General features: G+C 38.0%; 1 long non-coding RNA gene across 2 annotated transcripts; it reads right to left on the reverse strand.

The window, feature by feature from the left end:
* Positions 1 to 287: 287 nt before the first annotated feature.
* On the reverse strand, positions 288 to 25104 carry LOC107984624 (uncharacterized). Of its 2 annotated transcripts, XR_001749992.2 has the most exons (5): positions 23096 to 25104; positions 20137 to 20244; positions 18858 to 18951; positions 18153 to 18235; positions 288 to 9056 (listed from the first exon to the last, which is right to left on the reverse strand). It is a non-coding gene; the product is annotated as an uncharacterized LOC107984624 (long non-coding RNA). The 2 variants fall into 2 exon arrangements; XR_001749990.2 differs by having other exon boundaries at positions 288 to 18235.
* Positions 25105 to 25542: the final 438 nt, after the last annotated feature.

Raw genomic sequence — 25542 nt, forward strand, 5'->3', positions numbered from 1 at the left:
CACCTAATTGTACTTTCCCCAGGAATTTCTTTTTTTTTTTTCTTTTTTTTTTTTTTGAGATGGGAGTCTTGCTCTGTCACCAGGCTGGAGTGCAATGGTGCAACCTCAGCTCACTGCAATCCTTCGCCTCCCAGGTTCAAACAATTTGTCTGCCTCAGCCTCCCAAGTAGCTGGGACTACAGGAGCATGCCACCACGTGCAGCTTATTTTTATATTTTTGATAGAGATGGGGTTTCATCATGTTGGTCAGGATGGTCTTGATCTCTTGACCTCATGATCCGCCCATGTTGGCCTCCCAAAGTACTGGGATTACAGCCATGCATCACCACACCCGGCCTACCCCAGGAATTTCTAAATAAGCAGAGACATTTGTTTTGAGGCAGCTTATTGAGTTTTCCTGGTGCTGTTGTCTAACATATAATATCACCTCCAATTTATTTATAAGAACATCTTATGACAACTTCCCATTCTTATTTTTGACATTTTGTAATGTATATTTTCTAATGTAATTGGCAAATTGTAATTTTGATGACATTTTATTTTCTGAGCACTGTAATATTTTACTTTTGTTTTGTTTATGACAGATTTATTAAGCTTTAGTTAAAAAAAATCCCTCAAGAAATTATGATGTCCTAGAGGTAAAGTTAATTACTTTAATATCCAAACTCTAACTGGAGCTTGATGTGGAGTGTCGGGGTGGAGTTTATAAAACAAGAACAACTTCAGTTTTACTCAAAGGAATGGAGAACGTTTTCCAAAGAAAACAAGAACTGCATAATAAAGCCATTATTTTATGCCCCAGGAATAGCAACATTTTCACACACACACACAAAGCATGTTTTCATGTAATTATCTAAAAAATTTAAGATCATTATTATGGGTTAAATTGTGGTTCCACAAAAGATGTTAGTATCGTAACCCCCAGTACCTCTGATGGGATCTTATTTGGAACTAGGTTTTTTGCTCATAATCAGATAATATGAGGTCACTAGAGTGGCCCTAATCCAATAGAACCCACGTCCTTATAAAAGGAGAAATTTAGACAGGCAGAAAGAATGCCATGAGGAGATCAAGGCAGAGATTTAAGTGATGCGTCTTCAAGCCACAAACACCAAAGATGCCCAGTGACCCCCAGAAGTCAGGAGAGAGACATGGAAGAGATTTTCCTTCAGGTCCAAGGAAGGAACCAGCCCTGCAGAAGCCCGGACCTTGAACTTCTGGTCTCCAGAACTATGAGACAATAAATTTCTGTTGTTTAAGCCACCAATTTGTTGCACCCTGTCATGGCAGCCCTATAAACTAATACAATAATAACATATTTGTTCTCTACATTTGAATTATGAAAGTTCCTTCACTATCTGCTGCTGTCTCTTAGTAACTAAATCTTTGATCAAATGTGGGCACTTCACAATATAGTTGTTTTCTGTACAAGATATCTGCATCCTCTTTAATTAATAAATATTGTGCATATATACCGCCTACTTTTCGAAGATTTCACCACTTTTCAAGTGGATGAAGGCTGAAGATAAATTAATGTGATGAAAAGAAAATAACAAGCATGTTATTAATACTTTTAAAATCTATTAGATACTGGAGTCTCAAAATTAGTATTATTTTAGTAGCCCAGGTTTTAAGCTTTGGTAGAATAATAAAGAAAATATTTTATTTCCATATGCCCTTAGGTGTATTTCATATAGTATATTTTATATAATTATGTTTTACAAGTTTATTATAGGTACAGTATTTTAAAGCAATTCAAACACAAGATGCAAACATATTCTCCTGATAACCGCAAATTATAATTTTATTATAATTTTGCATTACTGTATATGGTTATTAAATATTAAATGATCAATTAAAGAATATGTTAAATACAAATCAAGATATAAGCCAGGAAATCTATTCTGAAGAATTAATTTATCAATGAATAGTGCACCTATGCATTTTGAAATGCATAGAAATTAGCTAATTAGCTATTCCCTAACCACTTGCATTAACATGAGTTCGATGATTAACAAACCACTTTGTGTCAGTGCTTTTAGCCTGTACTATTTTAGTCTTCCAAATACATTTGCTAAGTCTAAAACTAAAGTATATTACTAAAGTAACATTAGAGAAGAAAAGGGTTTAAATATCCTTTTTCTAATATTTTAAAAATATTTAATCAAACTGGCTCAATATCTCTATGTACTGCCAACTCTTAACTGCATATAACTGTCAAGAAAGATAAGATTACATATCAGATATTGTTGTACTTCTGCCCTGCCTGGTGGTGAGATCTTATCAGGGTGAAGTTCTTCAATTTCTCTCTCTCTTTTCCTCTCTTCTTACTGTAAGAGGGAAATGCATTACAAGGTCTTTAGGCCATAAGCAATGTTTTATCAAAAAATTAAAATATAAAAAAGGAGAAAAATCGTTTCTAGGGATTCTTTTTTTTCAGGTTCATCAAACGTCATATCTTTTCTTTAAAACCAAAGCAAAGTAGCCTGAATAATGCATGCTTAAAGACTTTGAGAAGATAGTTTTGTGGTTTTTCAAGGTTGCTGTATATCAAGGATACCCAGTTGAAAGCTCAGCTTTCAGCATAAGCATATTACATCTCATTGTGGACTAAGCAGAATCAGGTGGTACCCCCATCTCACACCTTCACATTATGAAAGTACATCTGGCAATTTATGTTAAATAACTCATTCATTCTGGATCCTTTAGAGGGGTGAGAAGACTTGAAATCAGAGTCACATCAAAGTGTTTGCTGAAGAAACACAATGGTACAATCTTTTAGTTTAAATTTTTTATTTTATCAATAGAATCCAGTATCACGAAGAAGTCTAGAGATGTGGATTTTAAGTATACAAATCCATGCTTCTAAACGCATCCATTTCTTAATTGACAGGAATCAACTTTTTTTGGTTTATTGTGGTGGGGGCTGGGGTACAGTATGATGCTGAAAAAAAGAAGTAGCTTTTATGTCAGGTTAAAAAGCTTGGAGTTAATCATATGAATCCTGAAAAACCATTAAAATGATTTAAGTGGAGGAAGCACTGATCAGATTTGGGTGTCAAATCCTTCTGGTGGCATCATAAAGGATGGATTTAATTTGGGTAAAAGAATGAGGCAGGATACCCTGAATAAAATGATTAAGAATAAATTTCCAAAATTATACCTACATATTATAGTATTAATAATATATCACCCTGGATTCAGACATTTTCAAGTTCCACATGTTGCGTTTTAAAACTTTCTTTATTCCTACTTTCTGAAGGTGTTCCTCCTTCTCTATTCCTGTTGATCTCATACATTTTGTGGGATGTTGTAACTAAAAAAAAAAAATCAATTGTGTCCTAGGTTTCTCCCTCTACTCCACGTCTTGCTTCCAATAAAATTCAGATATCTTGTCCATTCCCTCTCTTCAATCCATATGCATTTCCTATTCTTATACTATTATTCTGTTCTTCTTGGTCTATTGTAATCAAGTCCAAATGTGTAAACCTGTTCCAATCACCTCCAGCTGCTTCAGCTGCTTTCATTCCTGACATTGTTGCTAAGAATCCACTTTTCTCTCCGTTAACTCACATTTAATTATCTCGTTTCCCTGCATGAAAACTTTGAGACTGTCCTATAAGGTCCATTCTCCATCTGTCAACAGCATCCTTTCCAGTGGATGCAGTGATTGTGCAATCTGTCTAATTAAATCACACCTCGGCCACTCCCTGAGCATATTGTGATGCTTCTCATGTCACCATGCCTTCAACACACATTTTCTTGTAGTTGGCTTACACATTCCTTCCTCTTCGACCTTGTAAAATGATCCTACACAAGGAAACTCAAAAGTCATCTTCTATTTAAACTTTTCATGTTTTTTTTTCTAGTATGTGGTCCACAGAATAATGGACTCATCATAGTGTCCAATACTTTCCCCTAAACACATAAAAATGCCAAGTTACGACAAAGGAGAATTAAGATTGCAGATAAAATTAAGGTTGCTAATTAGTTGACCTTGAGATGAGAAGGTTATCCCTGATTATCCCAGGGCAGCCAACCTAATGACAAGTGCCCTTATAGGTGGAAAAGGAAGGCAGAAGGGGAGTCAAAGAGAGCACAGCATGAATAAGTCTTGGCCAGATGTTGCTGGCTTTGAAGATGGAGCAAGGAGACCATGAAGGGAACCATACGGAGGAACCTTTGAAGCTGGAAGTGGCAGAAATTGATTCAAGCCCCCAAAGGCTCCAGAAGGTGCTGACACCTTTTTGTTTTGTTTTGATTTAGCCCAGTGATACACATTTCTGACCTCCAGAAATGTAAGATAAATTTGTATGTGTTTTTTAAAACACTAAGTTTGTGGCAATTCCTTATAAAAAGAATAGGGGACTACTACCCTGTCAAATTAACATCTGTCCCTCTAAGGTGAGAAAGGCATACAGAAATGATAGTACATGCCTGTTACTTTTCTCGACGCTTTCACTTGTCCCTCATTTCATCTTTGCAACCCAACTAAGTAGATACTATTATCACTTTAAAGATAAGAATATTATTGCTTAGAAAGCTTTGGTCATTTGTCAACATTAAGAAGGTTAGGTGATAAAGCCAGTGATGAGGAGAATGGGTACCAATCTAAGTTGGTCTGATGCCACATATAACACGATTTCCTGTTGTGTTATTCCAGGTTTTTTATTTACATTCTCTTATGCACTGATTACAATGACTGGGGCTGAGATAAGTTTACTGACCTGCTTGAGATCACACAGCTGGTTGCTCAGAATCCAAACACCATAGCTTTCCCACCATTTCTATTGCCAGTGTGCAGGACCAATCTCTGAAAACCTGACTTGATATCTATGGCACAGCTGCCTCATTTTGGCAGAACTACATAGGGAAACAGGGAGTGCAGATCTGTTTTACATCATCTTGATGGAAAATGGTTGAAAGAGACACCATTGGCATGAATTCCTCATTTCTCCATCATGAAGCAATCCTGGACTTTGAATTATTTTAAAGTCAGGCAGACTCATTTAATGGTTGCCCAAGTTTATTCTCCTAGCTGTGAAACATTTTAGTGCAGCTGCTAAAATATTTGGGGAATATGCAATTGTGTGTCCTTCCTTTGGGCATAATGTATTACAGATGCATCAGAAGGTCTTGTCTGTTTTCTCTAGCAATTATTTTTCCATTCTCACTTCCACCTGCATTTTGAAAGGAGGCAGGCGACTATAATAATAAAATATTATTTGTATTTTAAAAAGGACACAAAGGTGGGATAATTATCTCTCCTACCCCTGTTTTTCTACCAATAACATTCTTCTACTCAACCTTCTCAATACTGTCAGTCAGTGGATTATTCTTTAGAAACACAAACATTGATAAATCACTACTATTAAATTGGAAACATTTGTGTTAGTTCTAACTACTAAAGAGATATAATAGGTATTATTAGTATTATTAAAAGGAAAGGGTGAGTAGAGCTTTTAGAACTTTCTTGTGTTTGGGAACACCTAGTCTTAGAGAAATCCTTTCATTTCCAAGAATGAGAGAGAGGCATGTGGAGAGGAAATTCCATAATCGTTACTGAGTTAAAAGTGCTAAAAAAATGCTACAATGGAAAAATGGAAGCTTAAAACATGTAATTGCACCAGGAATATGCTCTCTGTATACCAATTTCAGTAGTTACCCTTAGGAGTTTACTGGAAATTTTCCTACACACTGAATAGACAGGTAGATAAAATCAGAATTGATGGACAATGGCTTCATAAGGCAGCCATGTGCATGATGTAATATGAATTTGAAATTTTGACTACTGCCTGGAAGATAATGTTTGTGATGAATTCTCAAGATGAGAGAAAATAAAACTGCAAATAGGAGCTGAGTGGTCTGGTTTATCAATTAAATCCAGTTCAGATTGATATTGAGCCCTGATGGAGAGATGATCACCCTCAATGTCTGATGAAAATGTTTACTTGAGATTATTTATGGAACTCTGAGACAAACAGTGTTATTTAAAGGAATAGATAACACAGGGATTCACAGAATTCTGGAGACGATCATTCTTCTCATTTCCATGCAAAGCACAGCACCACTGGGACCCTCCAAGGTTAAAAATTGTTTTTGGGCCCGCCGCGGTGGCTCACGCCTGTAATCCCAGCACTTTGGGAGGCTGAGGCGGGGGGATCACGAGGTCAGGGGATGGAGACCATCCTGGCTAACATGGTGAAACCCCGTCTCTACTAAAAATACAAAAAATTAGCCGGGCGTGGTGGCGGGCGCCTGTAGTCCCAGCTACTCTGGAGGCTGAGGCAGGAGAATGGCGTGAACCCAGGAGGCAGAGGTTGCAGTGAGCCGAGATCGCGCCACTGCCCTCCAGCCTGGGTGACAGAGCAAGACTCCGTCTCAAAAAAAAAAAAAAAGCTCCCTCAGTTAGGATCTTGTCAAGCTCATAAAGGACTCCAAGAGCCCCGACCATCGTGGGCCTCAGCAGTTGCTCTTTAACCTGAAAAGGCTGAAATGGGGAGCAGAACATGAGAGGAAGAGCAAAGAGTGGAAGGAGTGGCTGTGGCTGAGCCAGGCATTTGGGATCATAAAGAAGAAATTTCTTGGTTACAACTGAAGGGTAGAACTCAGCTTTATAGTAAAAAGTCCAGTTGAACCAAACTAGCCCTTAGAGAATTCAGTCTGAGAATGCTACGAAAATACTGTAAAATGATATTCAGATTTTATAGTAATTCACATAGATTTACTTTTTCTACAGATTATCAGTATTCCATTTCTAAATAACACAGAATAAAGAAAAATTAAAAATACCCCATTAATACATTAGAATTTGTTGTGACTTATTTGTATCTCCATTAATAAAACACATGGAAAAGTCTACAGGCATTGACTTTAAATGGGAGTGATTTATCAGTTGCCACAAAATTTATGCAGAGGAATTAACCGTGGTGGTGATCAACCTGCAATGAGTGTTTGCAGTGTAACAGAACATGACTACATTTGTTATATGTGTTAAGCCTTCTAATCCTCTGTAAGATATATACTGTTACTCTCCCCAAGTTTTCATATGAAGAAAATGAGACAAGAATAACTAAAGTAACTTGTACATAACCCAATAGCCAGTAAGTCACTAAGCTGGGCTTTTAAACATACCAACCTAGCTCCACACAGTTACTTATTTTACTTTATTTTCCCACTTCTAAATATTTTTAGCTGATGATAAAAAAATAAAATCCATAAAATGGACAAGAGTAGTCGTTGACTTTTTATGAATATGCATATGTATGCTATAACTAAAAGTTATATTAAGCTCTGATAATCCCTTTTTAACTTTTTAATTAAAAATGCAGATATTTAAAAGAAGTGACAAAAGTCGGAAAAAACCTATGTAGTGTTCAGCCAACTTCAATAACTATCAAATCATGGCCAATCCCTACCCACCTCCCACCCCCATATTTTTCTGAAGAAATTCCCAGACATTTGATTGTATTTGAAGATGTAGTTAATGGGAAGTTTCTACAGACATCCAGGTGTGAGATATCTGGAAGTAAGAATAAAGTTTGGCAGACACTGTTAAAAAACAAAAGAGAGAGGCAAAGGCTTCCAACAGGATTTGGAAGGCTTGCAGATCAGAGGGCGTATGGCGAAGCCAAAAATAACTGTGGCCAAGTGGGTCTAGTGGAGACTCTGTGGGTAGGAGCAACTTGAACTATGTAAAGTTAAGTCACTCAGTGATGAAAACAGAGGTGTTAACGTTTTTCTAAAAAATGAAAAAGCAACCACTCCTCAAATCAATTTGTGTGTAGATGATCATTAGGCCTCATTTCTCATAAACCACATCTCTTAGCAAGACTGGTTTTCCCATTGGGGATCTTCAGATTAGCAGACAGCACCATGAGGTGAATGTGCAGAACTATAACTGAATTTCAGCGACTGGAACCCGCTAATGGCTAAGAGCATAAAGCGATAGGTGCACACCTTGCATGCAGTGGTAGAAATAAGGTGATAATCATTCTCCCTAAAATTCTCTTTCTGACACTTAGAACTAAAAGAACTTTAGTGTAATGGAAGGTTTACTTTTACTATTTCTGACACAAATTTGAGTGTTATACAACAGGAAGGGTTTGACACCGTACTTTAAAATGACAAAGGGAAGTGAGTGGTGAGATCTGCCTGAATGTGATATTCCCCTTGGACTTTACCATCCCGATATCATCAGAAGCTGCCACATGGTGTGAGTTGCAAAATGGAGATTAAGGTAGAGCAAACATATTTTCACCGCAGGTTAAGAACATAGAGTTCTGGGAATAGAGACCACATATGAACTAAGCCTTGGAAATCTAGTGATCTATTTGGGCACCCATAGTTTCCAGCTTCCTGAGTGTTATGGGTGAAAAACAACTGTGTTATTTAGCTATATTCGAACAGATTGAATAACTAATAGGTATACATTTTAGAAGCTGGGTTTGAAGTATGGACATCGTGTTTAAAGCTAGAATATACTTTAAAAAGTAATGAAAATATAACTGTTTTCCACATAAAATAGATAGTGAAAACAGAAAAGAAAATTTAATTTGAAATGCTAAGCATTTAAACTATGAATTATAAAGAGGGCTAAAGAGTGAAGTGATGAGGATATTAAAGCACGCTAATACAATAGAGATATTTATAATGGCAACATAATATGAATCATCACTATGGTATTTTGACAGATTTTCATGTCAAACCAGTTCCAAAATACAATCACCACTTTAAATTCAATGCTTCTTTTGAATAGAGAAAGGAAGAATACCAATGAGTGGGGAACCAATAGAAAGATTGGATTTTAACTAAGGAAAGTGTTTCTGGGAAATGTTTTACAAAATGGTGCATCATTATATCCAAATGCTAACAATAACACTTCATTTTTTTTTCAAGAAAAGGAAGCAAAATAAAATAACTTAAAATTTAAAATTATGAACAGATTAGATTTACCCGAATGCAGTTTGTGATTGATCACTGATGATGAGGATGACAATGACAACAAGGAGAATTCGGATAATAGAGACAGTGGTGTCCATGGTGGTGGAAGCAATCTGAATTGAGGATTGTACAATTTAACACTTTTATAAATAAATGTGTTGTATTGTAACTACTTTATTATTATTATTATCATTATTATTATTATTATTATTATTTTGAGACTGAGTCTTGCTCTGTCATCCAGGCTGGAGTCCAGTGGCACTATCTTGACTCACTGCAACCTCCGCCTCCCGGAATCAAGCAATTCTGCTGCCTCAGCCTCCCAAGTAACTGGGATTACAGGAACCTACCACCTCACTCGGCAAATTTTTTTTTAAATATATTTTTAATAGAGGTGGGGTTTCACCATGTTGGCCAGGCTGGTCTTGAACTCCTGACCTCAGGTGATCCACACACCTTGGCCTCCCAAAGTGCTGAGATTATAGGCATGAGCCACTGCACCCAGCCTATTATAACTACTTTTAAACTCCAGATCTTGTGATTTATTTATTCATTACTAAACTTAATTACATAATTAATAAGCATTAATGAATTAAATTTATTTTATTGGTTTAAAAATTAAGGCAATGGTGTCATATGATTGCTTGTATCTAATATTATTAACCTTCTTGAAGAAAATCTTATATTGGCAAAATGAGCACTAAACTATACAAATATGGCATAGTGAGAATAGATCATCTTGTACTGTTAACTGAAGAATACGTTCTTTATCCATGCTAAGTCTACTAGTGAAAGGTCTTGGAAATGTAGGCAACACATTGGTTTGTTTCTAGTTGTTATCTCACATGGCCTATATAATCTTTGGGAATTTCCCTGATGCAAAATGCAGTAGTTTATTTTGAAAGCTACTGCTGGGGCTGAGATAAATGAGTTTTCATATAAATACTAAAAGAGCTCTGAAACTTTTATGTTAACAAGAGGAAACTTATCAATAGCTATGTGCATCTACTCCCAAAGCCTAAAGAAGCTGTTATTAGTTGAAGACATGATAGTGTGTTAGAATAAATGATTCTGGTTACAAAAAATAGTTCTAATTTGAAAATACATCATTGTGTAATAAAGCACATTCACATCAAGATGTAAATTTATCTTAATCTTCTAAAACACATCCAATATTTAGTTTACAGGTAACAAAAGAAAAGGAAAAGGAATATTTGGTTTGCTGATCATCTCATTACAGTTGTTCCGTTGTGTGTGCTTTGCTGGTTTCCGTGTGAAAATAGTCTAGAATTTGTGCATGACTGAAGACTTTTCAGCAGCAGAAATTTCATGCCATAGATATTTTTTATCAAAACTGTTTTACACTTCTTGTTCATATTACAAATAGATGACAAGCAGCTGAGACCGTATCTACCCACTCCAATGAGCAATAATTTGCAATCAAGCTGTCTCTAAACTTGCTCTTTCTTAGGTTTATAAATAGTATGTTCTGTGAAAGTATTAGAAGTAAATAATAAAGAAACAAATTTAATTCATTGTGATGGCATCTTCTAAAACATAAGTAATATTGATTTGGGATTTGTGAAGATATTAAGCAGTAATGAAACTTGAATTCTCCATACTGGGCAGTCTTTTGATTAGCAGAAAAATATGGTCATGACTTTAGAGTTTCTCCCCAAAGCTCTTAATCGTATCATTTCCACCCTTCATTGTCTCTTATTCTTTAACACTTACACTTAAGGAAAAAAAAAAAAGGGAAAAAGACTTCCAACACAGATGAAATAAAAGTGTGTTCAAGTTTCAATAGAACAAAGTTCTTCTGGGGCTGAATTTAGTATAAAGCAGATTCACCTCAAAGTCAATTCAAAAAATGGTATTATTGAAAGCACCAGAAAGGCATAATTATAGCATTGTCCTGTGGTCTGGACCCTGAGGCCAATTTCAGAGGGAGACTTCACTGAAATATGAAATCAGATGTAAAATGCACCTTTTCAAGGGCAATTTCATTAATCTTATTGGCACAGAAAAGTTGTTTTTTTTTTCAGCTATTATACTGACTTAATCCAATTAGCAAAAGTGACCTTTCTTATTACAATGAAGATTTCTAATATGAATACTTTATTAAATCAAAGGATAAATGAAAACTATAAGTCCATATCTATTTTGTATATCAAATATGAAAGATAATATGACTGTGGTTTAATAAAATATGTTTTAATATTTAAAAATATTTCTCTTTGATTCTAACATTGCTGGAAGATTAATTAGTTTTATGAGAGGCTGAGTGATGACCGTGTCATTAAGCTATTCCTGTAATCATCATAAGGCTGTGTGGGACCTTCTCTGTGAGGAACGCTGTATTTTAGTCTGGATATGATCTTAGCATATCCCCAGTTCCCTAAAGGAGAGCTGCAGAATTCTATGGCTAATCCCAATCCAGAAAAATATTATGTCACATCACACAGTAATGAACATTATCCAGGAAAAAATTATTAAAATGGGGTGTTTTTCATTACTTCAAACAGAAGATTGTAACTTTGCAAGCAAGTCAGTGTATCCGATTTCTCACACCTCTTTACCTTTGACCTCCTGCATGTGTGTGTGTGTGTGTGTGTGTGTGTGTGTGTGTGTGTACTGCATCTATACTTTGTCACTGCATGGTTTTCTAAACAATTTCTTTGTAGTATCTAAGAGCACTTAGCAGTTTGGCCTTTTTTGTGGCATTTCAGTCTTGCATTGATTATATTTGATTTCAAATAAATGCTGTAGATCAAGGGATAAGTGGGCACAAGAAATCACATATATTGAAGTCCTCACAACATTATTATAACCCTCTGTTTTAAATTAGGAAAGGCACCTTCTTAGAATTGGTGTCTACATTGCCACATCTTCCCTTGCGGTGCCCACTCTTTCTTCAAATTACAATGGCCTGGCCCATGACCAATCCTGCTCAGACACTGTGCAAAGGTGAGGCGTCTTTCTGCTTATGCCTCTGCTGGCTCCACTTGTTGCAGAAGCACTGGAGCACCTGAAGCATGGGACAGAGGGTACTGTGTGGGCAGAGGAGCCCAAGGCATCCCCATCTTCTTCCTGGACAGACCCCTTACCTCACTGTTTGATGAAGCAAGAGGAAGCAGCTCTGCTTCCCTACTTCATGTCTAAATGATTTACTGTGTTCAAAGAGCTCTCAGGACGTTCACAAAAGAGAAGTGGTTCTCCTTCTTTATTTTCACTAAGAGCAAGATAAAACTGCTCCCTAGGTATTAGGTTCATATTGCTTCTACGTGATTTCATGCATGGGCTCCCAAACTATAAATTTAACTCACAGAGATACTAAAATATGGAAACAATAAATAGAAAGCTCTTGGTGAATCAATATCAGTATCATGTTTTAATTTCTCCTATGTGATTCAACACTTGAGGACCCTTTTCATATGGGGTCCATTGCGATACTTTTCCTATAGTAGTCACATAAACACACACTGTTGATGTGTTATGCATGATTTATACAAGAAACATATTCATTATGAAACTTCATAATTCCTCAGAAGTAGCAATGTTGGAACTCTACATGCAACCTCTCAAAGCAGTGTTTTTATGGTTGTTGTTTTGCTTTGTTAACGTTTTTTTTTTTTTTTTTCTTCAGGAATGGGCAGATCTTTTTTGGTGTATTATGTATATAAGCACCTTATTTCATACTGGCTTGCATTTATGGCCCACATTACCAAGAAATATCCATCTTTAAAAGTAGAATCCCATTTGGCCCTGTTATCTAGTCACCTGTGAGAGTAAGGCAGTAACTGAGTGTGACAGAGGACTCACAGAGTCATGCCTGCTGTCATGATGGGTAACCTGGGGACATCCGTGCATCAAGGGAAATGTTTCATTATATTAGCCAGACTGTTTAAATTGTTATTTTCCTTTCTTTCTCCCTTGTTCTTTCTCTTGCCTTCCATCTTATTCCCATTGTAGCCTGCTCTCTTTATCTAAGAGCATTGAATCAATTTAAGTGTTTATGTAATGTAATGTAATGCCACCATTCATATATTTGCACATCAAACGTGATTCCTCTTTACTGGGCAGTCTCTATCTATTAGGTGATAAGTCATAAAAGGCTTCCAAATCACTAGGTATAGATGGTGGTTGGATAAACAATTTTCAAACATTATTTCAAACATAATACTCCAATGTATAAGATATACATAGACCCATTTTCCAGATGAGCAATCAGAGAATACAAGAAATCTTCCAAAATCTGTAAGTGTTAGAGCTAATATACAGATTTAGTTTGGCAGAAAGAAATATGACTTTGTTTTGTCTTGTTTTGCTTTTTACAATTAATAATAGTTTTTTTTAAAAAAAGAAAAGCTAATCATAACTTACTGACAAATTGTTAATTCAAAAGTGATAATGATGGACTAAAAGATACTTTTTATTTTTTTGAGATGGAGTCTTGTTCTGTTGCCCAGGCCGGAGTGTAGCAGTGCAGTCTCTGCTCACTGCAACCTCTGCCTCCTGGGTTCAAGCAATTCTGCCTCAGCCTCCCAAGTAGCCGGGATTACAGATACCTGCCACCATGCCCAGTTAATTTTTTGTATTTTTAGTAGAGATGGGGCTTCACCATGTTGGCCAGGCTGGTCTCGAACTCCTGACCTCGTGATCTGCTGGCCTCAGCTTCCCAAAGAACTAGGATTACAGGTGTGAGCCACCGCGCCTGGCATAAAAATACATTTAATAAGTTCTGACTATATGCCAGACATGTTTTAGATAATATACAGTTAGAAAATAAGCATATATCTACCTTCATATAATTTAAATTTTCCTAGTGGGAGACAAATAAAACACGTAAGTAAAAACATAATACGTTAGATTGTATAAGTGCTAGGACAAAATAAATAAAGAAGGGGGGGTGGGTTCTAAGAGTTGGTGTGTGTGTGTAAGTCAAAGAAAAGAAGAAATATGCTATTTCAATGACACCTGTTATTGAGTTGATAAGACAATGAACCTTTGTTCATGCAAAGAGGTGAGAAAGGAGCCACCTTTGATTGAGTGCAGGCTGTGTGTTTGTAGAACAGTATAAAGAGACAATGGGTGGGAAATTGTGCTCAATTTCAAGAGTGGAAGGAGATGCAATCATAAAGCTATGAAAGGTCATTGTGATGACTTTTATGCTGAATAAGCTGGGAAGCTACTAGAAGGTTATGAGCGAGGAGTGACACAGTCTTCTTATTTTGAAATAATAACTCTGGGTGCATTGTTGAGAATTGACTATTGGGAACTAAGGGGGAAATCAGGGAAAAGAAGTAGGATGCTATTTCAATAACACCTGGCAGGAATGATGGTTTCCTGGACTAAAGCAAGGTTGAAGGACCAATGAAACAGAGAAGCCATTAAAGAACTATGGGGGCAAATGTTGGAAAGATTGTCTACGTGGAATTCAAAGTCATCCAAATTTATAGTAAGAACAATAAAAAAGAATGAGACAATGACCCAGGTAATAAAATATTGAAGGGATGGAGGAAAGCAAGCCAAAGACTTGGATAATTGTGACAAGACAGCAAGTAGTAAAGACTTTGAGATCATGAGCTCATGTTGGGAGCTCCTAGGGAAAATGGAGGTCTCTACCCTTTCCCTCCTTCACTTTTTTGGCTCTGTGACAGGATTTCCTAGACACCCCCAGCTTGTACTTCTCTATTATCTTTTCCCAGGAAACTTTTTGTCCAGATGGCCAGTTCTTATAATCTGATATTCTCTTCACCTGAACTTTATTTTCCATTCATTTTTCTTTCTATTTGGAGACATTTCTACTTCATATCCTCTCTATTTCCTGCAATTTCACTTTCTCTGGTTTCTATTAAAGGGATATGTGTCTCTCCCCAAAATGTCTTCTTTTGGTGTTTGCTTTTTCTGAGCTTCTTTCTCCCCCATATATTATATTTATTTCCATTGTGGTCAACATGCTTTTTTTTCCCTCTGCACAAGCCGTGCTTTCTGCAAAAAGACCTGCCCTTGGTTTCTTAATTATTTATTCAGGTAATAACAAGTTAAAGTACGCACGTGAGGAATAAATTGCTACTGCTGCTATATTAAAAAGGAGATATGTAATTTAGGTTTCTTTGACTATTTTTCCCCAAGACCCTGTCCTTCTTCATTGTCTCAAATAGCACTACTTATATTACAAATCCAGTCAAATCTCAATCAAGTTCATTCCAGGTAGCCTGAATAATCTTACTTTTTTTTTTTTTTCATGCTTTCCTCTACCTTGACTTTTTCCATTACTCTTAGAAAAGATGTGTCATAAACACTTATATTTTCATTTAAAATAAAAATTATAAATTTAAGTCAACTATGGTAATTTGCATTATGGTAAATATAAAATGAATTTTGTTTTATGAGGATAGTACATCACAGAAAATGAAAGGTAACCAAACAATTCTTATTTTCTAGCTTGTTTTGTAATTCGGGGCAAATATCTTCATATCTCTAGGACTCAGTATCTGCATGTATCAAATGTGTTGGCAAAATGTGTCTCCTTTCCCCAGGCTTCCACGTGGCACAGTGAGGACGGAGGGCTGCTGATCACCTCCTAACAGGAGAAGGTCAGGGCATGCTGGGCCCCGCTCACCACCTGTGTACTGGCTGTGCCTCAAAAGATGGGGAGCAGCTTAGCCAGCCACAGACAGCCTGGCATCCAGCATATCTCATTTGCCAGCACCTTGATAGGAGCACCAGGTCCATACTTCATCTTCTTCCTGTGTCCAGGCAGAGATGGTGATCCCCATTCCTGAGTTTATTCCACTCCCTCCTTCCACTCTGCAAGTCTCATGCACCCTCCCAGGCAGGCCCTCCTCCTGGCCCATGGGGATTAGAGGTAGGACCTTGTGTAGAAAATTCAAGTTTTTTTTTTTTCTGCTGACTCTGCTCTTTCCACAGATAGGTTTGCAAGTTCTAGATTCAGGGTGCAAGTAGAAAGTGCCTCTCTGGGGCCAGGCACAGTGGCTCACACCTGTAATCCCAGCACTTTGCGGTCAGGGGTTCGAGACCAGCCTGGCTAATATGGTGAAACCCTATCTCTACTAAAAATACAAAAATTAGCCTTCTGTGGTGGCGGGTGCCTGTAATCCCAGCTACTTGGGAGGCTGAAGCAGGATAATCGCTTGAACGTGGGAGATGGAAGTTGTAGTGAGCCAAGACTGCACCATTTACTGATTTTCTTGGTAACAGAGTCCTGATACTGAGGCAGAGTATTAGCTCCTCATCTGGCCGCTGGGAAAGCTGATATTTTGGAAACAATTTAGTCTGCGATGCTTCAGTGTACAATAGGAGGCCAAAGGCCAAAGTAGATAGATCAATTCAAAGGGCACTGTATTATAGCACTTAGGTTCTATCTCAGGTTTATACCAAGGAGGGGCTTGGCCTGTGTGGCTTGGAAGCTTGCATTGTAGATCTAATCAAGAACTACAAGCTGTCCTGCCCAATTTTTGTTTCATTTCACTTTTTGTTTTTAAAATAAACTTTTTATTCTAGAACAGTTTTAAATTTATAGAAAACTTATAAAGTTTGTACAGAGGGTTGCTATACACTCCCTGGTCCAGGTCCCTTAATAACATTTTTGTTGCTTTGATATAAATATTAAACCAACATAGATACTTTTTTATTGACTAACATTCATTTTTATGGATATTACATGACTTCCTTACTTGCTGTCTATCACAAAAAGGTATAACTTTTTATGTTCCAGGTATACCAGATTATTTTTATTTATCACATTTTAGGTGTACTTCAGATGTAAGAGCTTCTCAGATTTTCCTTCTGTTTTGGTGACCCTGACAATTTCGAGGAGTACAGGTTGGGTGTTTTGTAGAATGTCCTTCAGTTGGGATTTGTCAATTTTTTTTTCTCATGATTAGATTGAGTTTATGTGCTTTTGGGAGGAAGACCACAGAGGTAAAGTGTGATTCCCATCAAATCAAGGGTGCACACTATCAATACGTCATCACTGTTGATGTTGACCTTGATCATCTGTCTGAGATAGTTTTGATCAGGTTTCTCCACTCTCAGATAACTCCTTTTTTCCTTTCTTTACACTATACTGGTTGAAAGGAAGTCACCATACGTAAGCCACCTTTAAGGAGTGGCCTCCACTCGCAAATCACACATTTTTTCCAAAATATCGTCCCCCAAATGTGTATTAACTTTAAAAAAAAAAGAGAGAGAGAAAAACTTATAGTGGAGAAACTGAGCAGACATTACCTTTTCCTCTGAAAATGGGATCATTTACATGCTCCTAAATTTTAAGCTGTCTTTAAAGTTCTGACCCTTAGTCCATGGTAGCTAGCTGTTTTCTAAGATATTAAGAGACAGACAGGAAAATGTGTTAGGAACTGGAGGGACCTGGATTGGTCCTAGGCAATGCCACTCGGAATCTCCAAATATCAGGCAAATTATACCATCTGTAAGAGCCTTGGCTTTTAGTTGTCTTAAGCCTGAATTAGTAAGACTATTCTCAAAGGGGCTTCCTTGTCAGCATTAAATGAGATACTATAAGAGCTCTTATTTTCTTGAGTAATCTTGACAGCACTTATGGAGTGCTTGCTAGGTGCCATGGTGGTCAGCACTTTACATATATTTCGGTATTTAATTTTCACCACAACCATCAGTGATAGATGCTATCCTTGGTACCCACATATACCAAGCAAGGATAGTGAAGATCAGAGAACTTTATAACTTGCCCGAGGTTTGAGAACAGGACATTCAGGAAAACAGACAAATAAAACACCTTCAGATTTCATTCATTGCACTTTGATTCCAGAGCTTGTGCTCTTAATTACATAAAAACATATAAGTGCTCAAAAAATGTTTGTGGTTTGAGGCAGTATAGATGTCATTGAGAAAGGACTCTAAAGAGAGAAAGGTGGATGTGCCTCCCAGCTCTGCACCTTGCTCGCTGTCTCCAGGCATAGATTCCTCATCTACAAAGCAGTATAAGAACGGGTACCAAATTAACAGAGCTGCTGCAGGAATTAGATGAGTTAATATATGTATCAAGAACCACTTAGAACAGCCTAGTGTGTATAATGTAATCAACATATATCACTAATTACTTTTAGTGCTGTTTTTGCATTCTTTTACTTACGTATTCATTCATACTTCTCTTTTGTGATGACTCGATGAAATAAGTCCAATAACAATATGAATTTAATAATTACCTGAGGTATTCTTCAGTGTTTTGGCCACACATCTGTGACTCTCAGCCTTTTAGGTACATTCTCGGATTCCACTTTCTGACCAGCTTTGCAGGGACAGGAGGGAAGCATGATTAATTCTGGCCAATGAGCTGCTGGGAAGGCATTGAACTTTAACATTTAATTGTCAATAAAATATTTTTATTTTTTTTCTGCAGTCTGCTAAGCAACTTCTTAACTTGCCTGGTATCCCGAGTGACTACAATGAATAGGTCTTCCTGCCAATTTGCTCAAGAAACAGGGAGCTGATAAAGTTTGTAGTTTCTTTCAGCATCCTAAACAACTCTCTTGACTGAACCATCACCTGACTGATTGAATTATTAAACAGAGCCAAACCTAGCCTAATCTGAATGATACGTTTAACAAATGTATCATTTGTTACAACAACAAAAAAAATAATTCTCATCATAAGGAAGCAGTGCTAAAAGTTGCTTCAGCACAGATGAAAGCTACAATCTGTGCGTTATGCTTTAAAAGACCACATTCATTTACATTGCAATTGCTCATTTGAAAAACATAAATGTGTAGCAGTATGAGTTTGGGGACAAATATATAAACTAAGCTTTCACAGAGTTTTTACTGAATTTTAAGGAATACAAATTGTGCAAAGTAATGCAAGAATTCAGAGACTCAGGAAGCCAGCGTATGTAAACATAACTGAAAACATACCTGAACCCCAACAATCAGCCCTGGGCCTTTTGAAGTCAGAGTCTTGTGTTGTAGTTGAATTTTTTTCTCTCTTCTTAATATAAAGTCATTGACACTGGGAAGGCAAGATGTACATTTCAAGCAACTTAAATGTTTTAGAATTTGTAAGTGTAAAACTCTATAAATAATAAAGCATATATTTATATTTTCAACTATAGCATATTGTTTAAACTTAGAATATTACTGTAATACAGAGAATCAACATATAACTTTTCTTTCACTACACACACACACACACACACACACACACACATACAAAAAGTGAATCCTTGGTTTTTATGATTTTAGATTAAAATAGAACAATGTTTTTGTCCCATTACTTAATCATATCTTACTCCCAATACAATTTGTTACTGGCTTAAGGACTTAATGAATATTTGTTTTTAATATAAGTTACTCTCCCCTCACTCCAAAAATGCTTCTATTACAAGGCTCTATATGCTGTAATAGGTCAGCTCAATAATACTTTTTAATGAATATGGTGAAATACTAACCTCTGTTAATTAAGGCTATGGACACAGCTGTAAGAAATTATATAGTAACACCTATGAGCTTCCTATCAGGTCAGTTACATAAAACAAAATGAAAGCTACTTTATCACAGGCAAATAAAAGCCATATAAAAACCATATACCAGTAGGGGATTAGAGGTTTGTAAATGAGGAGTCCAACTTCATACAATGTAGGACATAAACCATATTTATTTTTTTGGTACATAATATGAGCCTTGGGAGTTCTTTCTGATTCTAATCCAAACCTTTCTTAGTATTACTTTCCAAAAATTTTACCTGAGCTATTCTTGAAGTTGCTAGTTCTATAAAAGGTAATAGCACCACACTTCAGGTCAGAAAGCTTCAATTCTATTTCTAGACCTACTCGTGATTAGTTGAATGTCCATAAGTTCATTAAAATCTCTTTAATGAACTAAATGAATCTCTTTAAGGAACTAAATCCAGAGAAGGATTTAGTTTCCTTCTCTGTAAAATGAGAATTTTGGATCAGATAATTGCTCACAGCACATCAAACTCCAAGCTGTAAAACTCTGTTCCAGATTCTCCAATTTGATGTATAAGTGGCTTTATCTGAACTCTGATTGTTTTCTTTATCAGTCTTCTCTTTCCACCAGATATAGGTTTGATCCAATGTCCTCTTAATTAGAGTTCTTGCATTAAAACGTGATTTCCAGAAGATATTTTGCCAAACACAACCGAGGAAGATGATCTTTTTATAAGCATACTTACAATGAACTGATCAGCTGCTCAGTAAAGACTGAGACTCTTTGACACATGCAATAGTGTCACCTCCCATCATAGACTTGAGCCAGCCATTCAGAAGGAGATGAACCGGGCCTGAATAATACAAACAAGGAAACCAAGATGTGACTACAACAATTATTATCTTTGACATATACTTCCCCTAAGGAGAAGAAATCAGAAGTTAATATCAGAAACACACAGTAAATTATTTGTTATACGTTGCACGTATACCTAGTTGTTGTTATTTATGTCATAGAATGCATACAATTCTCAATTTATAGTTTGGTTTTAGTTAATAATTGTATTCTTCATTAGACTTGCACATTTATTATGCCCAATATCTCCTCTCCACTTCCTGCTACCTGAGAATTTAGTCCTTTAGAGCTTCTTGTTCAAACCACAATAAGTCTATTCTATTCTATTCAAATTTGTCTTCTTCCTAACTGTCCTCCGTATTGTTGCATTTCATTTTCCAGAATGAAACATTAAACATTAGAAAAATATTTAGCAATCCCACTACTAGGTATCTACCCAAAGGAGAATAAGTCATTATATCAAAAAGACACCTAAACACATCTGTTTATTGTAGCACAGTTTACAATTGCAAAACCATGGAACCAACCTAACTGCCCATCAACTGATGAGTTGGTAAAGGGAATGTGGTATATGCACAACATGGAATACTACTCAGCCGTGACAAAGAACAAAACAACATCTTTTGCAGCAATGTGGATGGAACTAGAGGCCATTATTCTAAGTGAAGTAATTCAGGGATGGAAAACCAAAGACTGTATGTTCTGATTTACAAGTAGGAGCTAAGCTATGGGTACACAAATGCATTACAGAGTGGTATAGTGAACAGTGAACACTAGAGACTAAAATGTGGGGCAGGTGGGAGGAGGGTGAGGGATAAAAACTACACATTGGGTACAATATACACTACTTGGGTGATGGGGGCACACTAAAATTTCAGACTTCACCACTAACAATTCATCCATGTAACCAAAACCATGGTACCCCTAAAGCTACTGAAAATTTTTTAAAAGACAAAATATTCTCACCTAAAACAGATTAAAACTACTTGTAAAGTGGCTTCTGCAGAGTTTTCCATCTCCATTTTCTTACTTCTCTCATCCCAGCTTGTGGTTGTATAATACTGAATTACATGCATCCCCATTCATCCCATCAACATGCTTGGATGGGTGACTATCCGTGGGTATGGGTTTTAGTGAAGCAGTTCCCTCTGCTTGAAATGGCGTCCCTTCCTGTGCACAGCTATCCCTCAAGGCTAAGCTATGAATATCATCCCTTCTTCTATGAAGTGTCTTCTGTTTATCTGAGTAATGTTTTTTTTACTTTTTCCTTTATAACTAATGTTACAGCAAAACATATGTCTAAACACTTTCTTTTTATGATACATATATGTTTATTATGCCTAACCTATAAGTCTCATATATATATGTATGTATATATATATGTGTGTATGTGTGTGTGTGTATATATATACATATATATATTCTTTTGCATTCTCAGCACCCAGCAAAGCACTTGGCACATATCAGGGTCTCAACAATCTTGCATACATTTAATAAATATATTACCTTCAGGAACTCATAAATAGTTAATTCAGATTGAGAAGACATGAGGATGTAAATTACATTATTTTACATTATTTTGTTGGAGAGGTTGAATTAGAAAAGTGGCATCACACCGAGTGGTTTCTGAGCAGGCATTTATTTCTGGGATGCTCCAGGTTACATTTACTGTAGAAGAGCCACACTGAGCTGCCATTAAAAAGGATGCATATTGCGGTGCTGGGGCACTGAAAATGATACTCAAAATATGGTGCTTTGGTGCTCTGCATGCATTGAATTGAAGAAAACAGAAAGGCCTCAGAAATGAGCCTCAGAGCCAAGCTCCTTCTCTGACCTTCCCCTTTACGGACTCCCTTCTCTGTCTCTCCAATTCTTTCCTGCAGCATCAGGAGGGAGTCTCTCTGGAATTTGTCAGACTAAGGAAGCTTCTTTCCAAAACAAATGAGATTGTCTTAAGATTCCATCCCTAGGAACCTCATCAAATAACCAGGACAGATTAACCATCAAAGATGGGACAAAAGTGGAGTCTCACCACACCCAGACAGACTGTTGATTCCTGAGAGGGCAACTCTGAGAGATTACCTGGGAGGTGTTATCTGGATTACTGGGTAATTATTCTCCTGTCATTCCCCTCTGCTTATGCACATTAAATAACTTTGGTGTGCCTTTTTCTCCTATTAATCTGCCTTTCATCAGTTCATTTTTAGTGAATCTTTAGTGGGCAGAAAGGAAGCTTTCTCTCTGCCACTATAGGAGTAATGATAACACATATGCAATTTGTACTAGAACGGGCCTGAAAGTTGTAATAAGAAATAACATAAAATTATGTTTGTATATTGTATTGGTCCATTCTTCTGCTGCTATAATGAAATACCTGAGGCTGGGTAATTTATGAAGAAAAGATTTTTAATTGGCTCCCAGTTCTGCAGGCTGTACATAAAGCAAATGCCAGCATCTGCTTGGCTTCTGGTGAGGGCCTCAGGAAGCTTTCAGTTATGGTGGAAGATGAAGGTACGATGGGAACACCACATGGAGGAAACGGGAGGAAGAGAGAGGGAGCAAGAAAGAGGGAGGGAAGGGGGAGGTGCCACATTCTTTGAAACAACCGCGTCTTACATGAACTCAGAGCAAGAACTCACTCATTACCATTAGCAGAGCACCAAGCCATTCATGACCAAAATACCTCCCACCAGGCCCCACCTCCAACATTGGGAATCACATTTCAACATGAGATCTGGAGAGAACAAACATCTAAACCATATCATTCCACACCTGGTCCCTGAGATCTCATGTCCTTCTCACATTGCAAAATACAATATTCCCTTCTTAGTAGTCCTCCAAAGTCTTACCTTGTTCTAGCAGTAACTCAAACTCTAAAGTCCAAAGTCTCATCTAAGACTCAAGGCCGTGTTTCTTCCACCTATGAGTCTGTAAAATCAAACAAGTTGTTTACTCCCAAGACACAATGGTGGTACAGGCATTGGGTAGATATTCCCATTCCAAAATGGAGACATAGGCCACAATAAAAGGACAATAGGCCCCACAGGAGTCCAAAACCCAGCAGGGTAGACGTTAAACCCTAAAGCTCCAAAATAATCCTTGGCTCCATGCCTTGCATCCTGGACACACTGGTGTGAGGAGTGGGCTCCCTAGACCTTGGGTAGCTCTGCCTCTGTGGCTTTGCATGGTGAAGTCCCCATGGTGGCTTTCACGGGTCGGAGTTGGGTGCCTGTGGCTTTTCCAGGGTTAGTGTTCAAGCTTCCAGTGGCTCTACCATTCTCAGGTCTGGAGGGTGGCGGCTCCCTTCCCATAACTCTGCCAGAGAGTGCCCTGGTGGGAACTCTGTGTGGGAACTCTAACCCCACATTTCCCCTCATTATTGTCCTAGTGGAGGTGCTCTGTGGGGGCTCTGCCCCTGCATCAGGCCTCTGCCTGGGCACCCAGGCATTCCAATACATCCTCTGAAATCTAGGAGAAAGCTGCCAAGACTCCTTTGCTTTTGTGTTCTGTGTGCCTACAGGCTTAACACCATGTAGAAACTGCCAAGGCTTATGGGTTGCATTCTCCAAAGTGGCATCCTGAGCTTCACCTGGGACCCTCTGAGCCACAGCTGGAGCTGGTGCAGCTGAGATGCAGGGAGCAGTGTCCTGATGCTGAGCAGGCAGGAGTGACCTGGGCCTGGCCCCCAAATTATTCTTTCCCCCTAGGCCTGTAGGCCTGTGATGGTGTTATGGGAGCAGGACAAGGAAGTGCTGGGTAGAGAAGGTCAGGGTTCCTGGTGAGGGCTCCACCCTTGGGCCTGCGTCCATGGACCAAAGTGAGAACAGGCACTCCTGTTTTCATTCACAAATGTTGTATTTTCCAAGACCACTATGGCCCACCACACCCCCATCCTGTGCCCAGAAAATCCCAAGACTGTAGCGGGCACACACACAAGTGGCTGGACATCAAGAGGAGCAGAACACATGGACAGACACCAGCAAGCCATCAATGGTGGGAAGATGTGGAATTCAGCCGAGGGTGGTCAGAGGAGAGTCCAGCTGCTGGGTGGCCGGACTCCAGGGGAAGACCACCTTCCCATTCCATCCCCCTTCTGGCTCCCCATCCATTTCACTGAGAGCTACCTCCACCACTCTATAAAACCTTGCACCCATCCTCCAAGCCCACATGTGATCCGATTTTTCTGATACACTAGGGCAAGAACCTGGGATACAGAAAGCCCTCTGCCCTTGTGATAAGGTAGAGGGTCTAGTTGAGCTGATTAACACAAGCTGCCTGCAGACAGCTAAGCTGAAAAGAGCACACTGTAACACAAGCCCACTGGGGTTTTGGGAGCTGTAAACAACCCTAGATACTGCAGTGGGGTCAGAGCCCCCAAACACTCCCCATGACCTGCCTGTCTGCATGCTCCCCTCTATGGGTTTGAGCAGGGGAGCACTGAAAAAGCCAGCCACACCCCTGCGAGGGGGAGAAGAGAACACTCTCATTTCAACAGGAGGAGCTTTTTAGGAGGTTTCTGAAATACCTTTGAGGCCTTTTTCGACGGTCTTGGGTATTTGCACTTGGCTCCATTTAGTTACACAAATCTCTCCAGCAAGTGATTGCTCTATAGCTTGCTTGAATTCCTCTCCTGAAAATGTTTTTTTTTTCTTCTCTACCACATGGCTAGGCTGCAAATTTTCCAAACTCTTATTTTCCAAACTTCTGTGTGTATTCTCGTTAATGATAAATTCCAAATTTAAGTAATTCCTTTGTTCCTGTATCTTGCCGTAGGTGTTTAGAATCAGCCAGACTTCCTCTTGAATGCTTTGTTGCTTAGAAATTTCTTCCGCTAGGGGAACATCACACACCGGGGACTGTTGTGGGGTGGGGGGAGGGGGGAGGGATAGCATTAGGAGATACACCTAATGCTAAATGACGAGTTAATGGGTGCAGCACACCAACATGGCACATGTATACATATGTAACAAACCTGCACGTTGTGCAAATGTACCCTAAAACTTAAAGTATAATAATAATAAAATTAAAAAAAAATTTCTTCCGCTAGATACCCTAGGTAATCAATTTTAAGTTCAAGCTTTCATAGATCCCTAGAACATTGACACAATGCAGCCAAATTTTTGCTAAGGCATGACACAAGTATCTTTTGCTCCAGTTTCCAATAACATCCTAATTTCCATGTGAGACCTGCTCAGCCTGGACTTCACTGTCCATATTTCTGTCAGCATTTTGGTCACAACCATTTAAACAGTCTATAAGAAGTTCCAACTTTACCTCATCTTCCCATCTTCTTCTG

This window comes from Homo sapiens, chromosome 13 (assembly GCF_000001405.40).
Source record: "Homo sapiens chromosome 13, GRCh38.p14 Primary Assembly".
Classification (NCBI taxonomy): domain Eukaryota; kingdom Metazoa; phylum Chordata; class Mammalia; order Primates; family Hominidae; genus Homo; species Homo sapiens.